At 39.0% G+C, this 18,439-nt stretch overlaps 1 protein-coding gene across 4 annotated transcripts in view; it reads left to right on the plus strand.

The window, feature by feature from the left end:
* The window catches only part of IL23R (interleukin 23 receptor), a 127,267-nt gene that overhangs the window by 95,218 nt on the left and 13,610 nt on the right, over positions 1-18,439 (plus strand). For all 4 annotated transcript variants that reach the window (XM_011540790.4, XM_011540791.4, XM_047447227.1 and 1 more), the window contains exons 8-9: positions 2,859-2,948; positions 6,325-6,427. In XM_011540790.4, the coding sequence (XP_011539092.1) occupies positions 2,859-2,948; positions 6,325-6,427 (193 nt within the window). The remainder of the gene's footprint in view (positions 1-2,858; positions 2,949-6,324; positions 6,428-18,439) is intronic.

An 18,439-nucleotide genomic window follows, 5' to 3' on the forward strand; every position in this document is an offset into this window, starting at 1 on the left:
TTTTTTTTTTTTAGCAAATTAGGCAATGCACTGATGACAGAACTGATATAAAAAACAGTTTCCAGTCATAAAGGCTGTGTGTGTGTGTGTGTGTGTGTGTGTGTGTGTGTGTGTGTGTGAGATTCTGTGTTTGCTAATGCTTTTGTATGTTAAAATACTTGCAAATACCATAAAGCACTAATAGCAGGTGGATTAAAAGGATGGGATTAGGGATGGTTCTTTTTTTCTCCTTTTAATTTCTCCTGTTGAAAATTTTTCTGTACTTTAATTATCGCTTTTACAGTCAAAGATGTTAAGTATAATTTAAAAAGAAATGACGTAGCCACGTGGTGGCAGTATTCCATGAAGAATGTAATCTACATAGCTTTGTTTCAGTCCTATGTCTAACATTGGCTTGATTTCTTCTCTGACAATTTTGTTTATAAATTGTCTTATTTTAGATAACTGATTCCTTGTGAAATTTCCCTATGAGGATTAAGCACCTCTTATAAGTGACTTTAATTTAATGCACCTGTTTGATTTGGAACTATGATAACAAATAGACTCTAAAGGAAGATTGTATTTATTCCCTGTTAGGGCTAATAAAACCCTAGTCAGATATGAAAATTGTTTTTATATGATGCAAATTAATAACTGAATGAAGTTTCATTGCCAATAACTACCTGTAGTTTATACAACAGAATTACATTAACCTGTATTAAAAGCCAACAACACCATATATTACTTTTAAATTAAAAATGCTAATTTTAAAATAATAAAAGTGAAAACAAAAATACTACAGCAGCATATGCTATAAGCCCATGATTTTGCTAAATTGAAAATTGTGTTACCTTTTAATGTAGTATTTTTACTCTTTTTTTTTTTTTTTTTTGAGATGGAGTCTTGTTCTGTTGCCCAGGCTGGAGTGCAGTGGTGTGATCTCAGCTCACTGCAGCCTCTGCCTCCTGGGTTCAAGTGATTCTCCTGCCTCAGCCTCCCGAGTAGCTGGGACTATAGGCACCTGCCACCATGCCTGGCTAATTTTTGTATTTTTAGTAGAGATGGGGTTTCACCATATTGGCCAGGCTGATCTTGAACTCCTGACACCCTCCTCAGCATCCCAAAGTGCTGGGATTACAGGCATGAGCCACTGCAACTGGCCAGTATTTTTATTCTTAAAATTTCAAAATAATGGAGATTCAGACTCCTGCCTGAGCTCCCTGCAAATGAACATTGGCCTGTAAAGATAGCACTTTAGATGAATAAACCTGACTGTTGGCCATCAGGGCATAACCTTGTTCCCTCAGAGTTTGGTGGAACCATATACCCATGGAGCAAAAGAGACTTAGCGAGGCATTGAGAAGCCAAAAACAATTTCTGATTTGTCACAATTCCGGGTGAAACATTTTCCTCTTGCTGTAGAGAAGCCAGGACAAAAAACACGGGAAATAACTTTTGGCTTTTCTGATGTTTTCATCTTCTAAAATCCCTCACCCACTGTTCTCAGAAAACTACCCTCCTCACGCTTATGCCTGCACCCAGAGCAGCCTTTTTTCTTTTTTCTTTTTTTTTTTTTGTGAAATGGAGTCTCCCTCTGTCACCCAGGCCGGAGTGCTATGGCACGATCTAGACTCACTGCAGCCTCCACCTCCCGGGTTCAAGTGATTCTCCTGTCTCAGCCTCCCAAGTAGCTGGTATTACAGGCACGCACCACCATACCTGGCTAATTTTTGTATTTTTAGTAGAAACAGGGTTTCACCATGTTGCCCAGGCTGGTCTCAACTCCTGGCCTCAAGTGATCCACCTGCCTTGGCTTCCCAAAGTGCTGAGATTACAGGCATGAGCCACTGTGTCTGGCCAGACCAGCCTTTTTCAAAAATTTCTGAAGCCCCGTAGAAACCTTTTCATTGGAAATGTAGGACACTTTTCTCAAAGACAGTCACATGGGCCACACTACTCCTTATACAAGCCTGTGATATCTCAGCCTCAAGTTGTGATTTCTCCCTGCCCCCAAAAGTAATTTTTTTAAAAGAAAAATTTGAGCACTGAAATCAGAGTGACGGAATACACAGGGCTTGAAGCAATCTCAGGGATCCAAGGCTTAGAGCCATCTTCAGAAATGTCTTCTGCCAGTTGGGAGAATTGTGTCCTTGAAGTCACTTCTGTCAGCTTTTAATTATCAGGAAGGAGGAGACTGGCAAGGCTGCACCAGGACCCCTTTGAGTTCAGACTGAAAGTTAGGTACCAGGGTTGCTCACCCCACCCTGGTCAGAATCATTCATTAGCAGTTTCCTGACAGCCTTTATAACTAGACCAGGCTGCCAGGAAAAGAAAAGAGCAGAGAGAAGTCATTGGTGACATCCCACCCAGGTGTTACAACACCAAAGTGCCTGCTAACCAAAATTAGGTTTCTTATGAGGAGCCAGGAGAAGGTGAACAGCATCCCAAAGATTGTGCAAAGGCAAAAGTGACACATCTTGGGGACCCTCAAGGAAATCTGAACCTTATTGCACCATCAATTGCAAGGAATCAAATAGAGATTAGTTATCATGCGTTTTTTCTGGCTCAGTAAAATAAAGCTCTTTGGTATTTGCTGCCTAGAAGCCTCATGAAATTAGTGGACACACCTTGAAGTTTTACAACCTAGGTAGATTATAGTTGCCCTTGCAGTGTTTCCTCCTTTGAGATTTACCCAATTAAATAAAAAGAAGAAGAAAAGACACATACTCGAAGACTATTGCTTTTATTCCACCCTTCAAGCCCATTAAAGTTATTGGTTTACTTTAGTCATCTCTAAACAAGGGAAGAAACTCCGTTGGGAAATTTGGCAAGCAGAGTGCAAAATGTAAGAAACTGACACTCTTTCCTTTTGGTTTAAGTTCCCCAGGTCACATCAAAAGCATTCCAACATGACACATGGAATTCTGGGCTAACAGTTGCTTCCATCTCTACAGGGCACCTTACTTCTGGTAAGAAAATACAACTTAGGCTTTTTGAGTAGTCTTTTAGTAATTGCCCATTTTAACCCATCATACTGAAAAAATCACATCAGGTGTTAAGTTTCTGGACAATAAGATATGCCTTATGTCTTCCATAGGAAAATAATAGACAAAGTACAAAGATCTGCTTAAAACTGAATGTAAGAAGTGGCTTAGGTGGATTTTGCCGGCTTTTGCAATAGATTGTATACATTTTTTAAAATTTTTATTTATTTTATTTTATTTTTTGAGACGAAGCCTTGTTCTGTCACCCAGGCTGGAGTGCAATGGTGCAATCTCGGCTCACTGCAACCTCCGCCTCCCAGGTTCAAGCGATTCTGCTGCCTCAGCCTTCTGAGTAGCTGGGATTACAGGCATCCGCCATCACGCCCAGCTAATTTTTGCATTTTTGTAGAGACGGGTTTCACCATGTTAGCCAGACTGGTCTTGAACTCCTGACCTCAGGTGATCCACCCACCTCAGCCTCCCAAAGTGCTGGGATTACAGGTGTGAGCCACCGCACCTGGCCACATTTTTATTTTAATAGCTGCTAGGGCTCAAGACCCAAAAACTTCTTTCAAAACAAATTACTTACCTATCTTGTGCTAGGACTTGTCTAGACATCTTCTTCAATCTTTAAAACAACCCATGAGATAAGTGTTACGCATCTATTTTATAATGAGGAAACTGAAACTTAGAGTAGTTGAGGAAACTTTTCAAGGTCATAGAGCTGCTAAGTGACAGACTAAAATTCAAATCCTTTTCTTTCAATGTCCTGGAGTCTATTGTCTTTCTTTTATACAAACCAGCTCCCATTTCAGTTGTTAGCATGACTATTATCGTATTGATGAGCTTGCCTAAACGTTTTAGGCGTAAAAAAATTGAGATCTGGTTGTACAATGGGTGAACATAACTCTAAATAGAAATTTCGAGTTGAAAACTTTTAGGCATGACTATTTCACCATTGACCACTGACAGACCATTTATCTCCTTGTGTAGAAATCAGGCAGGAATAGTATAAGAACTTTTGCAGGTTGTATTGCTATTCTTTGCACCTTCATTTATTTAATATTCATTAAGCAACTCCTGTGTACGAGGCACTGTTCTGGGTACTGGGGAATCAGCAGTGAAAACAATGAGCAAAGCCCCTGTCTTCATGGAGCTTCTATTCTAGCCAGACAGGGCAGAAAAACAGCAAACAAAACAAGAAGAAAAGTCAGGTGGTGGTGAAGTGTCGTAAAGAAACATGAAGTGGGTAGGCATGGTGGCTCACATTTTGTAATCCCAGCACTTTGGGAGGCCAAGGCAGGCAGATTGCTTGAGTCCAGGAGTTTGAGACCAGCCTGCACAACATGGCAAAACCCCATTTTTACAAAAAATACAAAAATTAGATGGGTGTGGTGTCATGTACCTGTAGTCCCAGCTACTTGGGAGGCTGAGGTGGGAGGATCAACTGAGCACCAGAGATAGAGGCTGCAGTGAGCTCCACTGCATTCCCGCCTGGGCAACAGAGCAAGACCCTGTCTCAGGAAAAAAAAAAAAAAGAGGAAAAAGAAGAAAAAGAAAAAGAAACATGAAGAAAGGTAAGGGCACTCTGAATTATCAATCAATTGCAAGCCAAGTGCTTAGGTTCAGTACAGTTCCCTAATTATAGATGCCTACACAGACCTACCTACACCTTGATATTTCTGTGGGATCAGTGGAGGTTAGGAACTCATGGCAGCTCTGTTAGATAAGTATTATTATCTCTATTTTCCAAAAGAGAAAACCTGAGACTCAGCAAGTTCATAATTATGCCCCAAGGTCACAGAGCTGATAAGAGGCAGAGTTTAATTCAAACCCAGGTATATCAGGCCACGCTCTTGGTCATTCTGCTCTACTGCTTAGACCCCTTTGCCGAGCACTGTGTTGACCTGAGGGCTGTCTATCCTCTTCCAGGCACTAATTAATGCCCAAGGGTGTGTGGCAGCCAGTACCCCCAATTAGTTGCTTCAAATAGTCAGAAATAGCTCTTTAGCCCTGGGAAAACATTAATTTCATATCCCATCAAGATTTTGCAGTGAGCTAGAGTTACTCAGACTCCTGCCTGCTGATTGGCTTTAGAAGAGGGCTGGGCAGCCTGGAGACCCCGGTATGTGAAATAACTAGGGTGGGGCAAACACAGTGTCTGCCACATGGTAAGTACCCAATAAACATTTGCTGAAGGAAGGGAGGGAGTGAGGAAGGAGGATGGAAGGGAAGCCAATACCCAACATGGCTCTAGAACAAATTCCAATGTGATAAGTAATGCCTCAACTATCTTCTATATTTGAAAATAGGGCTTTTTCATGTACCAGGGAGAAAGCATGATGAGCCTGGTGGGTAATATGTGTTGAATAAATTATATTAATTATTTAAATATTTTAGGAGATTAACTCAACTTTGACATGCAAGAAAAGCATTGGTTTTGTTTGTTTGTTTGTTTGTTTTTGAGACACAGTCTGGCTCTGTCGCCCAGGCTGGAGTGCAGCGGCACGACCTCAGCTCACTGCAACCTCCACCTCCCAGGCTCAAGCCATCTTCCTACCTTGGCCTCCCAAGTAGCGGGGACTACAGGCACATGCCACCACACCCGGCTAATTTTTGTAATTTTTGTAGAGATGGAGTTCTCACTTTGTTGCCCAGGTTGGTCTCAAACTTCTGAGCTCAAGTGATCCTCCCACCTCGGCCTCTCAAAGTGCTGGGATTATAGGCGTGAGTCACTGTGCCCAGCCAGCATTGTTTTTTAACTAAGTGTGAGTGCAGCATAAAGGCAATTTTGATTTCTTTTTTATTTTTTATTTTTATCTTAACTTGCCAGTGTATGATTTCTTTCTTATCACGTATATTGCTCTAAGTAAAGTGGATGTCCTTTCTCAGCAGGAAAAATTTCATGAGCAATAGATTTTGAAGAATGATGACAAATTGCACACATTCTATCTCACACAAAAAGTTAAAAAAAATCAGTATGATTGTAACCAGCTTTAGACATTGTTACAGCAATTGGGAATTCTCACCTGTGTCAGACAAGCCAAATGAAGCTCACCACTAAGAATTTATACGAAATTTGCATGCACAAGCCGACCACATTTGCCAGAGATGCACTTCTAAAAACCCACTGACATCAGATACATGTAGCCCAACTTTCTCAAACAAAAAGTTGTTTCCTGGGGTAGTTGTGCACTCTGGAAAAACAGTCACTCTGTGGCCTAAAGTAAAGGTTAATTTTGCTTCCCCCCACCCTTTCTCCTTTGAGACCTTTGCTTTGAGCAGAGTAAAGAGAATAGTAATTCTGGTATCAAATGAAGACTAATGCTTGGTTAAAATTATTTTTCTTTCCTTTCATTAGACAACAGAGGAGACATTGGACTTTTATTGGGAATGATCGTCTTTGCTGTTATGTTGTCAATTCTTTCTTTGATTGGGATATTTAACAGATCATTCCGAACTGGGTAGGTTTTTGCAGAATTTCTGTTTTCTGATTTAGACTACATGTATATGTATCACCAAAATTTAGTCATTTCAGTTGTTTACTAGAAAAATCTGTTAACATTTTTATTCAGATAAAGGAAAATAAAAAGAACAATGTTTAATAAGTACTTACCCATGCCAAACTCTCTACAAATGTCTTTCCTTTAATCCTCAAAATGACCCTGCCAGAAAAGCTTCCTGGCCTATTTTACAGGTGACTTAAATGAGGCTTAAAGAGGCTAAGTCCTCAGCCCAGAATCACTGAACAGTAAGCCCTGAGTCCAAACACAGCTGATATCAAAGCCCATTTCTCTCCTTTACTACACGGCGTTTTCCATTGTGCCTCAAATTTACCTACAGTGCCTAGATTCTTGAGAGTGGTGAAGTCACAAATTGCCTTGTGTTAAAAGAAAAACTTCAGCCAAATTAAATTTAAAGGAGTTTAATTGAGCAATGAATGTGCGAATTGGGCAGCCCCCAGAATTACAGCAGATTCAGAAAGACTCCAGGGTTGCCTTGTGGTCAGAGCAAATGTATAGACAAAAAAAAAAGTGACACATAGAAATTGGCAGTGAGGTACAGAAACAGCTGGATAGGTTATGGATTGGCATTTGCCTTATTTGAACACAGTTTGAACACTTAGCAGTCTATGAGTGGTTGGAGTATGGCTGCTGGGATTGGCCAAGACTCAGCTATTGTTACGGGCACATACTACTAAGTTAGGTTTTCAATCTTGTCTGCCTATTAGGCTAGGTTACAGTTCATCCACAAGGACTTGAATATAGAAGTATGGAGTCCTTCTCAGATCATATTTAGTTTGCTTTAATAATTCCCCCCTTTTGGTGATTTTCTCAATTTTGAGAGATTGACCAAAACTTTAGTCATTGATGTCACTATCACCATTGTAAATGTACTTATATGGTCTTTAAACCCACTGGGAAACAGTAGAACAGTGGGTTCTGTAAGGTGGCAACAAGGACTGAGTAGAAGGTACCTCCTTATGCTGGAACATCCTGTTTATAGGAGAAAAACAAAACCTGGTCTGTTCTAGGATCTATGTGTTTCCTTAAAGTCTTAGTTTGACTTTGTCACATTTAGCATGAACAACTCCATTTTGGTTTGGTTTGGTCTGTTGGAGTCTAGTGCATGAGCTCAGTCCAAAACAATGGCCTCCCATAATTTCGTTTTAAAAAAAAAATCCCCCTTTTTGGTCAGGTTCTCACTTAGGTGACAGTGTGACCAAAACCTAGGGCCTCAGTGCCACTCTCAGTTACCATCATTTTGGGTTTCTGTTCTCAGCATGTAATTCATAGGTTATGGTGTCCTGATGGTCACACATTTCTTTTAGCTCTTGTTATTCCAGTTGAAGAGAGACCATTTGACATTCTGGAGATGGCTGCTTGTAAACATTTAAAACCTTTGAGAGAATACAGCATACCAGGGAGATTACTATTAGGACTATTGGGAGAATAATACTAAGAGTTTGGGTTATGTTCCTTACCCAGGGTCCTCATAAACCAAACCAAACCATCTAAAAATCAAATAGATCAAAGAATGAGCTACATGAAGAGTCTACTCACTTAAGTGATTTTTTTCATTAATCCCCTACAACTGAATCACTATAATACCCGATGTTTTCTCCATACATCATAAGTGCCAGCAGCTGTTTAGCCAATACTTTTCGGTTTGGCCAATTCTATTATTTCGCATAACTTTCACAAGAGAATTTAAAGTTTTTTGTGTAACCATAGGCTTTACAGTAGAATCTGCTATAGAACCTATCATGAGGGATACATTTCTAATCAGTGCCTCTTTTACTTCAAACTATGGAAAAAAGACCTAACAAATGATGCCCTGCTAGAAGAGTGAAGGCCTCCTGGCAATGTTCTCTTTAGCCCATGATGTGGCTTAAGAGGAATGAATCAATGTTCTGTTTCTGACTGACTATGAGGCAATATATGAACCCTTAAAATTTCTCACCTGCATTGGGCCTTCATCTTTTATCCATCAAAGTATAACATTATCCATGTATAAGGCTGGCTGCAAAATCCTTCACAAATAAACATATACCCCATAATACACACATAACAGACCCCCTTTTCACTTCTATTGTTCATAGAGGCATAAGCAAGAAAAAAAATATTCAAAGTTAAGAGTCTCATGATAGTAGAGAAGTCTTAATCCATGATTTTAGGATAAGCTGTTCACATTAAGGACGCTGTCTTCTTGGGAGAAGCTGTCCTGGTTAGCTTTACCTTAAGGGTTCCGATGGGTGTGGAGGGACCCTCCTCAGTTGTGAGATTATGAAAGTTGTGGGATCTCTGAAACCAAAAGTTCAAGGTCCCAAAGTTTTGCTGTAGTGTGGATGGCAAGGACAGTCTTTCTCTAATGTTCTCAGAAGATTCATTCTTTGGGTTCTAGATTGTGAAGGGGTTGATTGTCCTCAGTGAACCATAAACAGCTTTTTTTAACTATGTAAAAATGTACTGCAGCATAATAATCTACTATTATAACATCAGTCTTCTTGCATGGGAAAGCTTTCATACAACCAGAAAACATGCATTGAAAGTGACAATTGAATGAAATCCCTTATAAATATTTAAATGTCCAATCAGGTAGCCAAATGTACCTGAAGCTTTGATTGTTTTCCCAGGAATATGGGTTTGACAAGCCAAATATTGTTTATAACTATTTTAGTAGTTTATAAGTCACCACACAAACATATTTAATTTGGATCATTTTATCTTTTCCATTACAAGTCGTAAAATGCAGAACTTTTAATAATGAAAGCCTTAAGGACTCTGGAAGGATAAGGTGGCTGTCTTGGTTCTCCACGAGTCCATGCTTAAAAATGGACTTATGTCCTCTTGAATACCAGTTGTTTCTCCAATTTAGGTGCATAGCACTGATAACTGATGGGTTATCATAGGTAATTTGGCTTAGATCATGGAGTTTATTCAAATTGTATATCTAAACAATTTTAGTATTGGCTGATTTAGCATGCGGATTTCTCTTTTTTTTTCTTATACTGTAAGTTCTGGGATACATGTGCAGAACATGCAGGTTCGTTACATAGGTATACATGTGCCATGGTGGTTTGCTGCACCCATCAACCCGTCATCTACATTAGGAATTTCTCCTAATGCTATCCCTCCCCCAGCCTCCTACCCCTTGACAGGCCCCAATGTGTGATGTTCCCCTCCTTGTGTCCGTGTGTTCTCATTGTTCAGCTCCCACTTATGAGTGAGAACATGTGGTGTTTGGTTTTCTGTTCTTGTGTTAGTTTGCTGAGAATGACGGTTTCCAGATTCATCCATGTCCCTGCAAAGGACATGAACTCATCCTTTTTTATGGCTGCATAGTATTCAATGATGTATGTGTGCCACATTTTCTTTATCCAATCTATCTTTGATGTGCATTTGGGTTGGTTCCAAATCTTTGCTATTGTGAACAGTGCTGCAATAAACATACATGTGCATGTGTCTTTATAGTAGAATGATTTATAATCCTTTGGGTATATACCCAGCAATGGGATTGCTGGGTCAAATGGTATTTCTGATCCTAGATCCTTGAGGAATTGCCACACTGTCTTCCACAATGGTTGAACTCATTTACACTCCCACCAACAGTGTAAAAGCATTCCTATTTCTCCACAGCCTTGCCAGCGTCTCTTGTTTCCTGACTTTTTAATGATCTCCATTCTAACTGGCATGAGATGGTATCTCATTGTGGTTTTGATTTGCATTTCTCTAATGACTAGTGATGACGAGCTTTTTTTCATATGTTTGTTGGCCGCATAAATGTCTTCTTTTGAGAAGTGTCTGTTCATATCCTTCACCCACTTTTTGATGGGTTGGTTTGTTTGTTTTCTTGTAAATTTGTTTAAGTTCCTTGTAGATTCTGGATATTAGCCCTTTGTCAGATGGGTAGATTGCAAAAATTTTCTCCCATACTCTAGGTTGCCTGTTCACTTTGATGATAGTTTCTTTTGCTGTGCAGAAGCTCTTTAGTTTAATTAGATCCCATTTGTCAATTTTGGCTTTTGTTGCCATTGTTTTTAGTGTTTTCATCATGAACTCTTTGCCCATGCCTATGTCCTGAATGGTATTATCTAGGTATTCTTCTAGGTTTTTTATGGTTATTAGGTCTTATGTTTAAGTATTGAATCCATCTTGAGTTAATTTTTGTATAAGGTGCAAGGAAGGGATCCAGTTTCAGCCTTATGCATATGGCTAGCCAGTTTCCCAACACAATTTATTAAATAGGGAATCCTTTCCCTATTGCTCGTTTTTGTCAGGTTTGTCAAAGATCAGATGGTTGTAGATGTGTGGTGTTATTTCTGAGGTCTCTGTTCTGTTCCATTGGTCTATATATCTGTTTTGGTACCAGTATCCTGCTGTTTTTGTTACTGTAACCTTGTAGTATAGTTTGAAGTCAGATAGCGTGATGCCTCCAGGTTTGTTCTTTTTGCTTAGAATTGTCTTGGCTATGTGGGCTCTTTTTTGATTCCATATGAAATTTAAAGTAGTTTTTTCCAATTCTGTGAAGAAAGTCAATGGTAGCTTGATGGGGATAGCATTGAATCTATAAATTACTTTGGGCAATATGGCCATTTTCATGATATTGATTCTTCCTACCCATGAGCATGGAATGTTTTTCCATTTGTTTGTGTCCTCTCTTATTTCCTTGAGCAGTGGTTTGTAGTTCTTTTTGAAGAGGTCTTTCACATCCCTTGTAAGTTGTATTCCTAGTTATTTTATTCTCTTTGTAGCAATTGTGAATGGGAGTTCACTCATGATTTGGCTCACTGTTTGCCTGTTATTGGCGTATAGGAATGCTTCTGATTTTTGCACATTAATTTTGTATCCTGAGAGTTTGCTGAAGTTGCTTATCAGTGTGAGGAGTTTTTGGGCTGAGATGATGGGGTTTTCTAAATATACAGTCATGTCATCTGCAGAGACAATTTGACATCCTCTTTTCCTAATTGAATACCCTTTATTTCTTTCTCTTGCCTGATTGCCCTGGCCAGAACTTCCAATACTATGTTGAATAGGAGTGCGGAGAGACAGCATCCTTGTCTTGTGCTGGTTTTCAAAGGGAATGCTTCCAGTTTTTGTCCATTCAGTATGATATTGTCTGTGGGTTTGTCATAAATAGTTCTTATTATTTTGAGATACATTCCATCAATACCTAGTTCATTGAGAGTTTTTAGCATGAAGGGCTGTTGAATTTTGTCAAAGGCCTTTTCTGCATCTATTCAGGTTATCATGTGGTTTTCATCATTAGTTCTGTTTATGTGATGGATTACGTTTATTCATTTGCCTATGTTGAACCAGCCTTGCATCCCAGGAATAAAGCCAGCTTGATTGTGGTGGATAAGCTTTTTGATGTGCTGCTGGATTCCGTTTGCCAGTATTTTATTGAGGATTTTCACATCGATGTTTATCAGGGATATTGGCCTAAAATTTTCTTTTTTTTGTTGTGTCTCTGCCAGGTTTTGGTATCAGAATGATGCTGGCCTCATAAAATGAGTTAGGGAGTATTCCCTCTTTTTCTACTGTTTGGAACAGTTTCAGAAGGAATGGTACCAGCTCCTCTTTGTACCTCTGGTAGAATGTGGCTGTGAATCCGTCTGGTCCTGGACTTTTTTTGATTGGTAGGCTATTAATTACTGCCTCAATTTCAGAACTGGTTTTTGGTCTATTCAGGGATTTCACTTCTTCCTGGTTTAGTGTTGGGAAGGTGTATGTGTCCAGGAATTTATCCATTTCTTCTAGATTTTCTAGTTTATTTGCACAGAGGTATTTATAGTATTCTCTGATGATAGTTTATATTTCTGTGGGATTGGTGGTGATATCTCCTTTATCATTTTTTATTGCATCTATTTGATTCTTCTCTCTTTTCTTCTTTATTAGTCTGGCTAGCAGTCTATCTATTTTGTTGATCTTTTCAAAAAACCAGCTCCTGGATTCATTGATTTTTTTGAAGAGTTTTTCATGTCTCTGTCTCCTTCAGTGCTTCTCTGATCTTAGTTACTTCTTGTCTTCTGCTAGCTTTTGAATTTGTTTGCTCTTGCTTCTCTAATTCTTTTAATTGTGATGTTAGGGTGTCAATTTTAGATCTTTCCAGCTTTGTGATGTGGGCATTTAGTGCTATAAATTTCCTTCTACACACTGCTATAAATGTGTCCCAGAGATTCTGGTACATTGTGTGTTTTTTCTCATTGGTTTCAAAGAACATCTTTATTTCTGCCTTCATTTTGTTATTTACCCAGTAGTCACTCAGGAGCAGATTGTTCAGTTTCCATGTAGTTGTGCAGTTTTGAGTGAGTTTCTTAATCCTGAGTTCTAATTTGATTTCACTGTGGTCTGAGAGACAGTTTGTTATGATTTCCATTCTTTTGCATTTGCTGAGGAGTGTTTTACTTACAATTATGTGATCAATTTTAGAGTATGTGTGATGTAGTCCTGAGAAGAATGTATATTCTGTTGATTTGGGGTGGACAGTTCTGTAGATGTCTATAGGTCCCACTTGGTCCAGAGCTGAGTTCAAGTCCTGGATATCCTTGTTAATTTTCTGTCTCGCTGATCTGTCTAATATTGACAGTGGGGTGTTAAAGTCTCCCACTATTATTGTGTGGGAGTCTAAGTCTCTTTGTAGGTCTCTAAGAACTGACTTTATAAATCTGGATGCTTCTGTATTGGGTGCATATATATTTAGGATAGTTAGCTCTTCTTGTTGCATTTATCCTTTTATCATTATGTAATGCCCTTCTTTGTCTCTTTTGATCTTTGTTGGTTTAAAGTCTGTTTTATCAGAGACTAGGATTGCAACCCCTGCTTTTTTTTTTCTTTCCATTTTCTTGGTAAATCTTCCTTCATCCCTTTATTTTGTGTGTGTTTTTGCACATGAGATGGGTCTCCTGAATACAGCACTACTGATGGGTCTTATTCTTTATCCAATTTGCCAGTCTGTGTCTTTTAATTGGGGCATTTAGCCCATTTACTTTTTTTTTTTTTTTGAGATGGAGTTTCACTTTTGTTGCCCAGACTGGAGTGCAATGGCACGATCTTGGCTCCCTGCAACCTCTGCCTCCCAGGTGCAAGGGATTCTCCTGCCTCAGCCTCCCTAGTAGCTGGGATTACAGGCATGTGCCACCATGCCTGGCTAATTTTGTATTTTTAGTAGAGATGGAGTTTCTCCATGTTGGTCAGGTAGGTCTCAAACTCCTGACCTCAGGTGATCCGCCCACCTTGGCCTCCCAAAGTGCTGGGATTACAGGCATGAGCCACCGTGCCCAGCCTAGTCCATTTACATTTAAGGTTAATATTGTTATCTGTGAGTTTGATCTTGTCATTATGATGTTAGCTGGTTATTTTGCCCATTAGTTGATGCGGTTTCTTCATAGTGTTAATGGTCTTTACAATTTGGTATGTTTTTGCAGTGGCTGGTACTGGTTCCTTTCCATGTTTAGTGCTTCCTTCAGGAGCTCTTGTAAGGCAGGCCTGGTGGTGACAGAATCTCTCAGCATTTGCTTGTCTGGAAAGGATTTTATTTCTCCTTCGCTTATGAAGCTTAGTTTGGCTGGATATGAAATTCTAGGTTGAAAATTCTTTCCTTTAAGAATGTTGAACATTGACCCCCACTGTCTTCTGGCTTGTGGGGTTTCTGCTGAGACATCTGCTTTTAGTCTGATGGGCTTCCCTTTGTAGGTAACCAGACCTTTTTCTCTGGCTGCCCTTAACATTTTTTCCTTCATTTCAACGTCGGTGTATCTGATGAGTTGTGTCTTAGGGTTCCTGTTCTCCAGGAATATCTTTGTGGTGTTCTCTATATTTCCTGAATTTAAAGTTTGGCCTGTTTTGCTAGGTTGGGGAAGTTCTCCTGGATAATATCCTGAAATGTGTTTTACAACTTGGTTCCATTCTTCTTGTCACTTTTAGGTACACCGTTCAAACATAGATTTGGTCTTTTCACATATTCCCATATTTCTTGGAGGCTTTGTTTGATTCTTTTCATTCTTTTTTCTCTGATCTTGTCTTCTTGCTTTATTTCATTGAGTTAATCTTCAATCTCTGGTATTCTTTCTTCCACTTGATTGACTCAGCTATTGATACTTGTGTATGCTTCACGAAGTTCTTGTGCTGTGTTTTTCAGCACCATCAGGTCATTTATGTTCTTCTCTACCCTGGTTATTCTAGTTAGCAATTCGTCTTTTTTTCAAGGTTCTTAGCTTCCTTGCATTGGGTTAGAACATGCTGCTTTAACTCAGAGGAGTTTGTTATTACCCACCTTCTAAAGTCTACTTCTGTCAATTCATCAAACTCATTCTCCATCCAGTTTTGTTCCCTTGCTGGCGAGGAGTTGTGATCCTTTGGAGGGGAAGAGGCATTCTGGTTTTTGGAAATTTCAGCTTTTTTGTGCTGGTTTCTCCCAATCAAGCCAGTGGATCTTAGCTTGCTGGGCTCTGTGGGGGTGGGACCCACTGAGCCAGGCACCGGAGGGAATCTCCTGATCTGCTGGTTGTGAAGACCGTGGGGAAAGCACAGTATCTGGGCCAGAGTATACTGTTCCTCCCCGTACAGTCTGTCATGGCTTCTTTTGACTAGGAAAGGGAAATCCCCCAGCCCCTTGTGCTTCCTGGGTGAGACGATGCCCCACCCTGCTTCAGCCCCCCCTCCATGAGCTGTACCCACTATCCAACCAGTCCCAATGGGATGAACTTGGTACCTCAGATGGAAATGCAGAAATAACCCGCCTTCTGCGTTGATCTCTCTGGGAGCTGCAGACCAGACCTGTTCCTATTCAGCCACCTTGCCAGCTCTCCAGCATGCTGATTTTTCACGCTGATTTAGCATGAAAATCTGGCATAGTATTTTCTTGGTATTTAATTAATTTTTGTTCTACTTTGGTTAGCAGTCTTATAAACCAGTTAGTCTTTTTATTAAAGTTTTAGGGATTCTTACCGAGTCTAAATGATACGAATTTAAAGTTATTAGAAACCTGTATTCAAGAGTGCTTTTTAGCATCCTTTTTATCCTTTCATGAACTTTCTAAAAGATACCATATTCTAGGATTTTCCGTGTTTGTGAAGTTTTCAGAAATTGCATTAGCATTAAGTAATTAACTTAATGTAATGACTTTAAACAGTGATATTTAAAAACACAATTCACAAGGAAATGTGGTTATCTCTGTGGTCTGTGATAAATTAACATAATAACCTTAATTATGATTGAAAGGATATACTCAGACATTAGAATTTTAGAAATCCTATACAATTTTGGAACATATATTAATATTATTTAACCTGAAGAAGATTAAACATTGTTTTTATTTTGACAATCCCATGTAACTAAACATGTCAGATAATCCTATTTACCTCTCCTTTGGATGCTCCAAGGGCCCTCTGTAGCATCCAAAATTTGGGGGTTAGAAAGACAATTTTGAAGCTGAAATTTCATTTTGGGAAGCCTATAAAATATGTTAAAGGTTTAAAATACTTGATATAATGCTTAACCAGTTTGACCATGAGGTGAAATTCTTGTAAACATTTTGTAACCCTTTACAAATTTTTGTTAAAAAGCAGATCAGTGCTCTAAGAAAAACATGTTGTGCTTTTATTTCAATTTTAATTTATAGAAAAACTTAGCAATACCCCTTTATCTTTAGCCAATGTCCACACAGAATTTCTTTTTATAAGATTAACTTTTCATAAACCTTCCACAATGTATTCAAGCCTTTAGCTTTATTTTAATCTAATTTAAAACAATATTTTAACCCTCTAACCTAGACAAAAATTTACATTCCTGTGCCTTCTTATAACCTTTTAGTAAAAACGCATTTTAGTTTCCTGACACACCTTGCATGTAAATCTATTTTCAGTAGTCTGGATTACATGTTGTAATGGTAACTGTTAGCAACTTTTAATTTTGGTGCCTAAATTTCCTTTCATGTATCCTTTCATGACTTATGCAGACCATCTATGACATGCTTAGACTTTCTGACTTGTCCTAATCATCCCTCTTTTTAAGCAACCAGTTATTTTACTTTAGGACAAGAATTTACCATACAACTTTCTTTCTTATATAAAATCTATTTTCTTTATAATCTTTTTTGCATAGCTAGGGGAGCATGGCTAATTCCACATGTCCCCAGGCCTTATTGAGAATCTAATGCCTCCAAGATAGGTAAATTGAACAATTTTCAAAAGTCAAAGCAGTTTATGACCTGAAAGCATTAGTAAACCTAATATCTGACCTGTCTAATTTAGACAAAATGTCTTTATTTTACCAATAATCGTTAAAGCCATTTTTATTTCCCAAAGATTACTAAAGTTACTTGAACTAAGACATTACAGTTTTTATTTTTTCTTCCAAAAGTGTTTTATCTAAGCACTTATTTTTCTTTAAGCCAATTACTTAGAGTTCTTTTATATGAACATCACACACACAACACATATATAACTACACAGAGAACAAGATCCAGTAGTTGTAGGATTTTTCATTTGCCAGTTTCTTCATTGGATTACTGACCTTGGGGTGGAGCCCATCAAGAAATGGCTAGGAAAACATGCAGTTTCTGGGGTCTAATAAGCAGGCACAGCTGGAAGGCAAAATGGATTTCGAGAGAGATCTATTTGCTTTTAATTCTTGAGGTTCCATGAGGAAAACAGAGGGTTTTTTCCAAAACAGGATCAGTGGCACCTTCTTTATTTTTCCCAAGGAGTCCTAGGCTATCAGAAGTTATCTTAGGGCCTCTCATGTGTGCCTTAAGAGTGGCAAGACAAAATGGAGAAAAATAATTCAGTCGACTGAGAAGAAAAAACCTTTTTCAGCAAAACAAGATCCACAAAAAGGAAAGACATAAATGTGGCCAGGCGCAGTGGCTCATGCCTGTAATTCCAGCACTTTGGGAGGCCGAGCTAGGCAGATCACGAGGTCAGCAGATCGAGACCATCCTGGCTAACACGGTGAAACCCCGTCTCTACTAAAAATACAACAAATTAGCCAGGTGTGGTGGCAGGCACCTGTAGTCCCAGCTACTTGGGAGGCTGAGGCAGGAGAATGGTGTGAACCCAGGAGGTGGAGCTTGCAGTGAGCTGAGATCATGCCACTGCACTCCAGCCTGGGTGACAGAGCGAGACTCTGTCTCAAAAAAAAAAAAAAAGGAAAAGACATAAAGGCCTTTTAAATATACCTATAGCTTGGATATCCACTTTTAATTAAGCTGACTCTTAACTATAGTGCTCTTTAAAAAATCCTTTTAAATCTCTTGTTACCCAACTTTAGCCATGCCAAGTGGCCTGTATTTCTGGCTTTTGAACTTTACCTCCCAGGTGCTCAGAGAAAGGAAAATTCAAGACAATTCATGGAAGGGAAGAGAATCAGCAAATGATAAAGTTCCCACAGGTATCAAACCAGAAAGGACTCATTCCTTAACCCAGGAATTGAACCCAGGCCACCACTGTGAAAGTAAAAAACTTTAGCTACTGAGCTACAGTACTGGGTAGTCTCCATTGTGCTTCCCAGAAGGGCTCTAAAGTACTTAATTTTGAGCTTGCAAAAGCTTTTAACTACTCAACTTAATTTTTAGAGCTAACTGTGACATGAACCCTAAAATTCCTGTTCCCTTGAAGGCAGAGACCAAGAAAAAGTACCACCACGTGGTTACAAAGTCAAGCTCCCAAGAATGTAAAACAAGATGGAGACCTCATCCAGTTTTTTTTTAATGCACTTCAGTGTGTTGTTGTTCATTTGGAATGTTCCATTGTAAGTTATCTTTAGTAAAATTTTGCTATTTCTGTAAGACTTTGCTGCCTCCCAAGCCTAATGTATAAACTGGAAGGAACTCTGCTTTTCAGAAATTAAGGATCTCATTTTTACCTAAAATATTGGCTTTGCTTTCAGGTTCCCTTGATGAACTTAGCCAATGATTTTTCCTACCTAAGTGTGCAAGAAAAATGAAACAAAGGTGTAGAAAACCAAAAATCCCTG

Source organism: Homo sapiens, chromosome 1, assembly GCF_000001405.40.
Source record: "Homo sapiens chromosome 1, GRCh38.p14 Primary Assembly".
In the NCBI taxonomy this organism is placed as follows: Eukaryota; Metazoa; Chordata; class Mammalia; order Primates; family Hominidae; genus Homo; species Homo sapiens.